We start from the raw sequence: 12166 nt of genomic DNA, 5'->3' as shown, positions 1-12166 counted from the left end.
ATCTGAGAAATTAGTGTCAGAGTAGACAGACATAAACCACTGCATCAAGGTTCAATCTCCTGTAAGCAAAAGAAAGAAACGATTTGACTTGTACTGTAATGCAATCTAGTATAGTCAGTTTCCTTTTTATGCGATTCTATTACATAATAGTTACTATCTTCTTTTTAATGGCCTTTTATTCCTGGTCACTAGAGTCTAGTTTTTTCTTTCATTTTCTTACTTGCCCACCCAACTTTCACATAACTGTCATAAAGAGGAAGAAGGGTGTAAGATAATTACAATCTTAGTAATTTTGAAATTATGCTTTGCCTAATATTTTCTTTCATTGATAATAACTTATTTTCCACATATATTAAGTTCTCCCTCCCCCCATTTTTTTTAAATTATGGGAAGAAGCAAAGAAATGAACAAACATATATAGCACACTTTAAACAGAACTGTTACTTAAATAACTGAAAACGCATTGACATAATCATTTTTATTTGATTTAATTGATAAATAAATACAAGAGAACTGTTGTGAAACCACTGGCAATATAGTAAATTTTAAAGATTTTATTTCAACTTCACTCACTTATATTTCTTGGAATGGGGATATATACATTATTCACCAATAAATGCTAATGCTTTAAATTTACAATTACCCTATTTGTAGAAACCTGAAGATCATTCCAATTAAATGAAAAAAAATTGTACAAAAACGTTCTTTTGCTCTTACAATTCAAAATACATTCAAATTCACATTCTTACAGCAGCCAAAACCTTTAACCCAAAATTCAGAACTGCAGTCCTACAAGTGAACAAACTAGTGTTTTAATTTAATTATCATGATTGTTGTTAACACTGAAAAAAAAACATGGTGGCTCCTGAAACAAGACAGGTTAGCAACTGGTACAGCTTTCCCTTCTGGGCACTCAAAGCTTTGCCCTTGATTATTATTTTTATTTCATCTTTTCAAACACAGACAATTGCTCCAACTTGAAAGTTTCAATGGAATTTTGGCATTTAATATTGCTAATGCTTGCTAAGATTTAAGATCTCCCAATGATGAGAATCAGAAAATGACGCACGACTAAATTAAAATCATCCTAAAAGACTTACTACATAGTGGTATCTGGTATTCAATATCAATAGTGTTTTTGAATTACATGATATGTTTTTCACAAACATAGCACCTCATCAAATATCTGGTAAACACTTTGCAATCACAATAAGTGTTGGGAGACCAAGTTCCAAAGACAATTATGTGATTCACTTAAAGGTAACATTGTAAGACAAGTCTCAGGCATAATGAAGATTAGGAATGCAGTCTGCTGGTTCCCATGATCTAAAGGGATGCTCACCTATATGGGCACCATCCTATTAAGACGTGGTAATATGTTTCCAAACCAAAAAAAGTCGGTAAGTGTTAAAATGGACTCCTGCTTTATAAATGATCTGTTAAATGTACTTGTAAAATTAAAAAAATTTCCAAAATGTCAAAAGAGATATGATTATTGTATCTCATTATTCCAAGTAATTCTGTTAAAAAGATACTAAATGAAGTCCAATTTTATCTTGTAAAGTTTTAGTGTAAAAACTAATGTACTGAAATTCAGTAAAGTTTAACTTTCATCTAAATGTAACGAAACAACTATTCATTTTGGTGAGTTTTCACAAGCTGTACTCCTGACCTGAAGAATCACTTTTTTTATGCCGAGGAGATGGAGTAGTCTTTGTAGGAGATGGGGACGCAGTACCAGGTGAGTCAGTTCCTCCATCGGAAGTACTTGGTGATGACGCCAGATAGGGAACTTTCTTTCTTCCAAGGAATCCTCCCCCTTCAAATCCTCCTTTCTTCCTAAACTCTATTTTATTTTCATTTTCATCTTCTGATGACCTTTTCTTGGATTCTGAAAAACCTTCAGCTATTTTATGCACTTCCAATCCACTATCCAATTCTCTCAAACTTTTTATTTCTACTCCAGGAGACTTTCTCTCAGATATATTACATTCCCCTGTTGCCCCTTTCACTTCAGCTTGTATTGGACCCAAGTTACCATTTTCAGGGACAGCTCTTTCTACATTTCTGTTCAAATTAATAGTCTGGAAGTCCCTATAACTGTGAAAGCTCTCAGTCCTTCTTGCCCTTGCTAATAAAGGACTTTCTCTGTAAGGCCTCATGGAACCGTAAGTAGCTGCTTCATGGGTGGTATCATGGTGCTGAAGCTGAAGGCTGAAATACAGTTTTTAAAAATGACAGTTCAGATTTCACTCTGTGATTTCTCAGGAACATATTAATTATACAACCAATAAAACACACTATATAAATACATAAAGTGTATTATATCCATATTTCTCTTTGTAAAAATATACTTATCAAGTACTCTTTATTATATAGATGGTATATAAAATTACCAATGCAAATAATACCATCATATATTCACAGACATGCTGAATTTTTGAACAGCTAAAAAAAAGATGGGAGGAAAAATCCTTGAAACCAATGTGAAACCATCATAATTCAGTATTTAGCCCTTGGTTCTTCAGACTTTGGAATTTATCAATATGATAACTAAAAAGACATTATGGAACTTTGTATTAAAATTACATAATGCTTAAATGTAAGACTAGACAACATAATAGAACCACAGATAAATATTGTCCCTGAGACAGGACAATAATTAAAGCTTCACATACTAACCAAGGTGACATGTAATTTTCCTAATTTCCTTTGAATAAATTCTTGATCACATAATAGGCTTCCAATTGGGCAGCAATTCACAAAATAAGTTAAAAGGTAAAAATGTTTTTCTATGAAAAGAACCAGATATGCCTATCAAGAAATTTGGTAAAACTGTTAAAAAGTTAACATAATGTCTGAATTTAAAATGTACCTTGAGAAGTATGGCTTTCTAGAACAACTATGTGATTACAATATTTCAGTCAATTTCCCCAAAAGAAATAAATTTTGTTTATAATACCCAACTCTTTAACCTACCTAGAATTTGATTCTCGTAAGTGGCTATGCTGAACTACGGAAGTTGCTGGACTGATGTTAGGAGTAGCACAGCGAGATGTGCTCAAATCACATTGATCGAGTAATTTGAGTAGCTCTTCTTCGGTTGGACCACCTACATCTTAGGAGAACAAATAGTCATTAAAATCACTTAAGTGAAAAGCTTAACCTTGTGACAAACATCTTTCTGTATGAGAACCTACCCTTATCTTCACTTTTGTTAACCATATCCATAGCAGTGGTCAGATCCCACATTTGAATACTGCCATTTGTATGGCCTGTGAACAAGTAGCGCCTTGGTCTTGAGCCCATCCTACTGGATCCCTCACATTCCCTCACTGTAAATGAGGATATTGTAGTACAGTCAACAGCCTGGATCTCACATATTCTGCAAAAGAAAAGCAGAAAGAGCCCTGATGGGAATGAGCAATTATTTAAAAAGAAGCTATGAAACTAAAAAGACAGAAAGAAAGAAAGCAAACATGTTATACTAGAAAAGACTTTTAAAAAATCATTTAAAATTTATGTGTAAATCTTTAAAATCTGAAACCAGAAAAAATATACAGCTCTATGGAGATGGCCCATATTGTATCCATCATTAGGATAATACTCAACTTCAAAAAAAGATTTTTATGACTTTTTAGTTGATTTTCATAAAAGATAAAAGAACCTGAGAGAGAACAATTTTTATCCACATTGACGGATCAGGAAACAATGGGATAACATCAGCAAATGATTGTTCCAAAGTCACGTAAGGGCTAACTGAATTGTACTTGACTGAATTAGTTATCCCAGCCTACTTCAAAAGAGTTGAGGGAGTTTATTAAAAAAGAAAAATCAGTATAGGCAAACGCAAGGTCAAAAAAATAGACAAAAAAAAATACAATCCACATGAATTTGAGAAGCATACAGGAATAGAATATGAAGCTTAGATGAGCTTCCTAGTAGGCCGGACAAAAAGGAGGGAAAAAGATAATTCCTACATGCCCACATGTAGTGATAAAGACTATCCTAGTCTCATTCTTGAGCTCAAGGTTTGTGAATACAGGAATAAACAAACCAAAGTATTTTTCCTGTACTCTCATGCAACAATCAACTCTAAGGAAAGTGAAAGTTTACCTCCAAATGCCCTTTTAGTTATGTGGGCTCTTGGCTGGATCTAGAAACCAAACTGACACCACACAGACTGACAAGAGAGAAGCATATACATTTTATTAGTTTTACATGTACATGGGAATCTTCACAAGAGAGTGAGGTCCAAAGAAGTGGCCACAGCAAGATGCTTTTATACAATTCAGACAAAGAATGATAAACTGTAGAACAAATGACAGGATAAAGAAAATCTGACTAGAGGCAGTAAATTTCTAAGGGAGTCACTAGAAGATATACATATATATTATATATATTTAATATATATTACGTATATACTAAATATATGTAATATATATTTAATATATATTAAATATGTATTATATATATACATTATATATATATATAGTGGGACAATGTAAAACTAGTGGAAGGTAAGCATATTCACTCAGGTCCACTGCAGCCCCCAGTTCCCACTCTCCTGTCCTGGTACAGGGAGGATAAAACTCCGAGAAAATCTTTTGGCTTGCTGCATGTAGGAAGAGAGAGGTCAGCTATCCCCTTCTGAAATGACAATTTCTCTAATGTTTTCACCTCAAAATAATCAATATACCAATTTGGCCTATTTTGGGGCAGAATGTCCTTCACTCCTTGGCAAAAAAAAGGGTTCTGTGACCAAATGGGGTGGAGGGGTTCACCAAACACCAAGCAAGCAGTCGATTCTGCAGCAGACACCAGCTAAGTGTCCTCTAACTCAATTTAATTCTGACACTATCTGTCATATCACACGGGTAGAAGACTCGGTCTCACAAAGCTGAGCCCCACTTCAGAGGCTGATCACAAGCCTCAGGTTATTTTGCCTGTGCTTCTAACTGACTGACTGTAAATCAGGGTTCCCACAGCCTCCTCCTTAGGTTCAACTAATTTGCTAGAGTGGCTCACAGAATTCAAAGGAAAGCTCGCATTTACGAGTTAATTACAAAGAATACAGATGAACAATAGATTCCCAGGGTAAGGTGTGTGGGAAGGAGCATAGAGCTTCCATGCCCTCCCTGGGCACGCCACCCTTCAGAACCTCCAGGTTTTCAGCTATCTGGAAGCGCTCTGAACTCAGTTTATTATTATTATTTTATAATGGCTCCATTATATAGGCATGATTGATTAAATCATTGGCCATTGATCAACTTAGCCTTCGGCTCCTCTCCCCTTCTCAAAGGTTGCTGGGTGGGGCTGAAAGTGCCAACCTTCTACTCCCATCTTGGTCTTTCTGGTGACCTGCCATCAGTCAACTCATTGGCATACAAAAAGACACTTATCATTTGGAAGACTTTAAGAATTTTTGAAGGAATATACCAGGAAACAGAGACAAAGACCAAATATGTATTTCACAATATCACACAAAGGAAATTATTATTTTTTTTCATTAGACGGAGTTTTGCTCTTGTTGCCCAGGCTGGAGTGCAATGGCGTGATCTCGGCTCACTGCAACCTCTGCCTCCTGGGTTCAAGCGATTCTCCTGCCTCAGCCTCCTGAGTAGCTGGGATTACAGGCGTGTGCCACCAGGCCTGGCTAATTTTGTATTTTTAGTAGAGATGGGGTTTCTCCATGTTGGTCAGGCTGATCTTGAACTCCCGACCTCAGGTGATCCGCCCACCTCAGCCTCCCAAAGTGCTGGGATTACAGGTGTGAGCCACCGCACCCGGCCTGGAAGTTTTTAATATTTCGCCAATATAAAGTTTGAAAGAATTATTTTCATGGGCATTATCAGATTTTAAAATTTCCCTTTTTTTAGTTGCTAGGGTTTTTTTAAATCATAAATAGGTGACAAATTATCAGATTTTATTCCTGTATTTATCAAGATGATCATAATTTAGTGAATTACATTTATTTTTAAATAATATCTGTAAATTGATTTAAAATGTTCAACAACTCCCTCCTCAGAGTCCTGTTTATGTTTCAAATAAAACAAATCAACATTTGTATGCATATGAAAACTTGGGTCTCAGAAAATACCCTCAGAAGCAAAGTTTCTCTCTGACCTGCAAGGCAAGCCATAGAGACAATCTTCTTTTTCCCCAAGGTGGCTCACAGAAACCAGAACGCTCTTTCCCCAAAGCTAGCCATGAAGCATAAAAATATTACCCTAACATGTCCCTATCTTTCTGTGAACAGCTAGCCATAAAGAAATTAAGGCCCTCACTACAGAGGGGTTCTGCCCCATCCCTGGGAGAAAGGAATGCCACACAGAGACAGTCTCCACTGGAGTTCCCTACTCAGTCTATTTCTGTTAACTTACAACTTTTTGTCCAGTCACAGTTCTACATGGCTGTCCCTGCTTCTTCTAACCTAAGCATAAAAATGGACACTTTTCCTTGTGTCTTTGGGTCTTCATTCTGAAGGCTCTCGTGTCATATAAAAGTATAATAAAATCAATTTGTAATGTTTTCTCTTGCTAGCCTATCTTTTGTTAAAGGGGTATCTGCTGTGACCCTTCTGCTTCCACAAAACAAACATAATTTTGAACTTTTTTCCCCCTATGCAGATTTCTTTTTTTTTTTTTTCTTGAGACGGAGGCCTGCTCTGTCGCCCAGGCTGGAGTGCAGTGGCGCGATCTCAGCTCACTGCAAGCTCCATCTCCCGGGTTCATGCCATTCTCCTGCCTCAGCCTCCCAAGTAGCTGGGACTACAGGCACCCGCCACCACGCCTGGCTAATTTTTGGTATTTTTAGTAGAGACAGGGTTTCACCGTGTTAGCCAGGATGGTCTCAATCTCCTGACCTTGTGATCTGCCCGCCTCGGCCTCCCAAAGTGCTGGGACTACAGCCGTGAGCCACCACGCCCGGCCGGGATAGATTTCTTAAAACTACTCCTTTATTTAAAATTTTCTACAAGGTTTTTTCTTGCTTCCTTTAAATAAAACCCTTTCATTTCACTTCTCACTATTAAGAGCCTGAACTGTCCTTAAACAAAATCTTTGGTTCACTATAGCTTTATAAAGGGCTAATTTTCTATTCAATTCTACAGAGTAATTTCTGCATGTTATTTTTGTAACTATAGCTTTTCCTTTGGAATCATAAACTTAAAAATTATAAAATTTGTTTTATTATGCAGAAATTGCACAGTGTTACTGTTAGAAATAACAGAAAGGGGGATATCAGAAATAACAGAAGAGGGGATATTAGAATTGAATAAGTAAATATGATATACTACATTGTTAGAGAATGTTATGATACCAGTTTTAATAACATTTGGCAGTTTCTTCACTATGCAGAGAACACTACATCACAGTCATTTATGCAATTTGATAATGAACTTTGATGTAAAAAATTCATCTCAAAGAATTTATTCATCAAAATATTAACAGATATGTTGAAAATGCAGCCATAAAATTTTAAAATGAACAGGATTAGTAACATTAAAATGAAAATAAAATGATTCTATACCTAGAAAACCCCACAGTCTCTGCCAAAGGCTCCTACATCTAATAAACAACTTCAGCAAAGTTTTAAAAAACAAAATCAATGTACAAAAATCAGTAGCATTTCTATACACCAATTAACATTAAAACTGAGAGCCAAATCAAGAATGCAATCCCATTCACAAAAGCCACAAAAAGAATAAAATACCTAGAAATACAGCAAACCACAGAGGTGAAAGATCTTTAAGACAAGAATTACAAAAACACTGCTCGAAGAAAGCAGACAACACAAACAAGTGGAACAACATTCCATGACCATGGATAGAAAGAATTAATATTGTTAAAATGGCCATGCTACACAAAGTAATTACATCAATGCTATTCTTATCAAACTACCAATGACATTTTTCACAGAATTAGAAAAAACTATTTCTAGGCCGGATGCAGTGGCTCACGCCTGTAATCCCAGCACTTTGGGAGGCGGAGGTGAGCGGATCATGAGGTCAGGAGATCGAGACCATCCTGGCTAACACAGTGAAACCCCGTCTCTACTAAAGATGCAAAAAATTAGCCAGGCGTGGTGGCATGCATTTGTAATCCCAGCTACTCAGGAACTGACGCAGGAGAATAGTGTGAACCCGGGAGGCAGAGCTTGCAGTAAGCTGATATTACACCACTGCACTCCAGCCTGGGTGACAGAGTGAGACTCTGTCTCTTAAAAAAAAAAAAAAAAAAAAAAAAAAAAAACTATTCTAAAGTTCCTATGAAACCAAAAAAGAGCCCAAATAAAATAGACAAAGCAATCCTAAGCAAATGAACAAAGCCAGAGACGTCACACTACCCAACTTTAAACTATTCTACAAGGCTACAATAACCAAAACAGCATGGTACCGGTACAAAAACAAACACATAGACCAAAGCAACAGGATGCAGAACCCAGAAAACAAAGCCATATACTTAAAACCACCTGATCTTCAACAAAGCTGATAATAAACAATGGGGAAAAGACTCCCTATTCAATAAATGGTGCTGGGATTACTGGCTAGCCATTTGCAGAAGATTCAAACTCAACCCCTTCCTCTTACTACATACAAAAATCAACAGAAGATGCAGTAAAGACTTAAATGTAAAACCTAAAACTGTAAAAACCCTAGAAGGAAACCTAGGAAATATCAACCTGGACATCAGCCCTGGCAAAGATCTCATGACAAAGACTCCAAAAGCAACTGCAACAAAAACAAAAATTGACAAGTGGGACCTTATTAAAGTAAAGAGCACTTGCACCACAAAAGAAACTATCAACAGAGTAAACAGACAACCTACAGGATAGGAGAAAATATCTGCAAACTAAGCATCTGACAAAGGTCTAATATCCAGCATCTATAAGGAACTCAAATCAACAAGTAAAACATGACTCCATTAGAAAGTGGGCAAACGACACGAACAGACACATGTCTGGAGGTTGCAGTGAGCTGAGATCACACCACAGCACTCTAGCCTGGCAAAAGAGCAAGACTCCGTCTCATTCATAAATAAATAAAATGAAAACAATAACCTTCCTAATGGACTATTAACAGGAAAGTTACTTTTTTCATTTGTTTGACATGCAAAAAACTTTTTCCCTGTAACTTTTAAGTTCTGGGGTACATGTGCGGGATGTGCAGGTCTGTTACACATGTGCCATAGTGGTTTGCTGCATAGATCAACCCATCACCTAGGTATTAAACCCAGCATCCATTAGCTATTCTTCCTGATGCTCTCTCTCTCCCCGGCCCCGCTCACCCCCAACAGGCTCCTTGTTGTGTGTTGTTCCCTTCCATGTGTCCATGTGTTCTCATCGTCAAAAAAATTTGTTTAATGCAGAGGAATGTTGAAGCAAAATCTGAGGTTATAAATAATAATTTTAAAAGAAGTAAAATTTCAGTCAATAGAAAAGGAAGAGGAAATTAACTTCTACTGTACATCTATTATGGTTAGGTACTATGAGAGATATTTCATTTTTGAAATTTATTTTATCCTATGAAATCCTGCCAAAGTCGTTGAACCTTATTTTATAAAGAAACTGGGATAAGGGAAATAAAATAACTTGAGTTGTATTTACATAGCTAGTAACAGGAAGTGCCAGAATTAGTTCAGCCGTCTGCCAGCAAATTCACTATGTTCTTTAAGTTTGAATAGAAATCATTTCTGAAGACAAAAGCAGAGGAATACTGCCAGTGCCATATAATGGAAGCATAAGTGCAGCATTCACAAACAAATACTGAGGAGACTGCATAAAGACAGGAATCCTACTCTCACGGAGACAGACAATTTCTCTCCATGTTAAAGTAGATGGAAATAGGTCTAAAATAGAAAAAAAAAATGTGTGCTATGTTGTAAGCTGTGCCAAGATTATGCAAATTAGTGTTATTAATATCATTTTTATTTTAAAAGGGGATACTGAATCAGGAAATCTGTAATGTTTTATTTGAGAAACATCAATAATGTATACAGATTTATATGGGATGGAAAATATTTAAGTTCCAGGTTTTTTAAAGATAGAAACTGTTTATAATAACAAAATTAATAAGTATTTATGTTTGGCCATGAAAAAAAGTTCACTGTGTTCTTATTCTATCACTAGTCCCTCCTAACTGTCCACAGCATCAGTGAAACTCTTAAATCCCAGAAAGTAAGCATAAAGTCTACTGTCTTAATTTTGAGTTATGATTATGAGATAACAGACTTCTGTCCCAACAATTTGTTTCTAGTAGCACTCTTTGGTCAATATGTCAAATTATGCCATATGTTTTGTAAGACAAAAGGTGGCTTCTGAATACAAATATTTTTACAATAAAGTGTTACCTTTTTCCAGTCGATGAGAGTCTTACAAATAGTTTGTTGGTGATGGGAACAACTTTCTGGATAAACACCTGTTGATCGTCTCGCTCTCCAAAAGGTCCTTGATCAGAAAACAAAAATGTCAAAAAATTAATTAAAATTTTATTTTTTCTCATTTTACAAAAGGAACATTAATATTAATATAAGAAAAGAATTTCTTATACGTACCAATATGGTATCACATTTCAGCTCAACATCAGACATGCAATAAATGTATACAAGTACTTCAATTTGCATTAGAACATTTTTAAAGAAATACACAATTATTTCTAAATTATATTTTATATATAACTAAGGCTGTAAAAGCTAAAAGAAAAAATTTCCTAAGGTGCCACATTAACAGTACTAGCAGGAGACCTGTTAAGATATTTACTATCTTTGGGGATGTGCTTAGATTCTTATAACTTAAAAGAGACGTATACATTAAGTCATTTCATGTAGTGATTTTACTTTTTAGAAGACAACACACAAAATCTTAAAATATAAAGTGAAACTTCATCAGATGGAATGTAATTAGTTGAAGCTTCTGTTAACCACATTTCTTCTTTTTAAAGATGCAAATTAAAAAAACACACACACAATTTTATATAAGGTAATTGGTAAACCAAGAGAAAAACACAGTATGAAGATTAAAGTACAGTATAAAATGTACTACTGAGTTGCACCCTGAAGCTTTTCAATCTAAAAGGAAAGATTCAATTATTTTCACTTTATTGTATTTGGCAAGACAGATAAATAGCCCATTATATTTTAGAAAGATCCTGAACAACAATGTAAAGAAAAAAAGTTTTTGTTTAAAACTTAAACATAAAATTTTAATAATTCTCTTTTCCCATTACACTTAGTAGCTAAAATAATATCAACTTACAATTCATAAAAAGTATTGTAAAAAGATTTACAATAAAAATTTTAAAGACAATATATCCCGTTATGTTACATGAATCATACATGTACTTATTAAATGAACCAATGTCATCTTTATTATTAGCTAATACTTACACTGTACTTACTATGTGCCACCGTAAATGCTTTCCAAATATATACTCATTTTAATCACCATAATAACCACATAAGGGAGGTACTATTATTTACCATCTCCATTTTACAGATGAAAAAAATAAGGCACCAAGAGATTAGTTAACCAAAGTTCTCATAGGTCCTATATGATGGAAGTGGAATTCAAACAAACCTGTCTGGCTCTTCAGTATATTATGCAGTTGCTCAATTACTGGAACCTTCTGATCTCTAATTTTATTAAAATGAAATGACAATCCTCATTCAATAACTCATAAACAAAGTCAAAATATTGACAATGAATAACTCAGAATAAAATAACTAGGAATGAGAAGACTATAGAACTGTATCTTCTCTCCCTTTGAACTTCATGTTGACATGAGACTGACCCATAACCTATTCTTCATACCTTCTTTGCCCTCGCTTCCCCCACCTCCCATTTATAGTTTCCCTTCCCAAACTGGCTCCTTTCCTTGGAATACAAAATATTCCTAGGTCTTTCTTAACTTTAATGAGGGAGAAAGTTGGAGGAATAAAAAAAAATGACCTTTGATCGCTTCTTGGCCTTTTGGCTAAGATCATGTGTAAAAATATGACCTTTGAACTTCCCTGCCTTCCAACTAGCTCCATTACTTCTTTATTTCATGGTCACCTCCAATATCTATTACCCCATTACCCATTACAATGTAGATTTCACCTTTACCACTCTACTGAATCTGGACTCTACTCTGTTCCACTAATCTGTATGTCCATTTGTCTATGAAGAT

The 12166-nt window shown here is 35.3% G+C and overlaps 1 protein-coding gene across 5 annotated transcripts in view; it reads right to left on the bottom strand.

Annotated features, from left to right (window-relative positions):
• The window catches only part of KCTD3 (potassium channel tetramerization domain containing 3), a 54504-nt gene continuing 42801 nt past the window's right edge, over positions 464-12166 (bottom strand). For 3 of the 5 annotated variants that reach the window (NM_016121.5, XM_047422104.1, XM_005273158.3), the window contains 4 exons: positions 10350-10446; positions 3201-3385; positions 2980-3118; positions 464-2214 (listed from right to left, as the gene is read on the bottom strand). In NM_016121.5, coding sequence (NP_057205.2) covers positions 1653-2214; positions 2980-3118; positions 3201-3385; positions 10350-10446 — 983 coding nt within the window. In that variant the 3' untranslated portion in view covers positions 464-1652. The remainder of the gene's footprint in view (positions 2215-2979; positions 3119-3200; positions 3386-10349; positions 10447-12166) is intronic. The other 2 variants (NM_001319295.2, NM_001319294.2) reach the window with 1 other exon arrangement.

This window comes from Homo sapiens, chromosome 1 (genome assembly GCF_000001405.40).
Source record: "Homo sapiens chromosome 1, GRCh38.p14 Primary Assembly".
Taxonomy (NCBI): domain Eukaryota; kingdom Metazoa; phylum Chordata; class Mammalia; order Primates; family Hominidae; genus Homo; species Homo sapiens.
The sequence above is the reverse complement of the archived record's forward strand: the minus strand, read 5'-3'. Positions and strand labels throughout refer to the sequence as shown.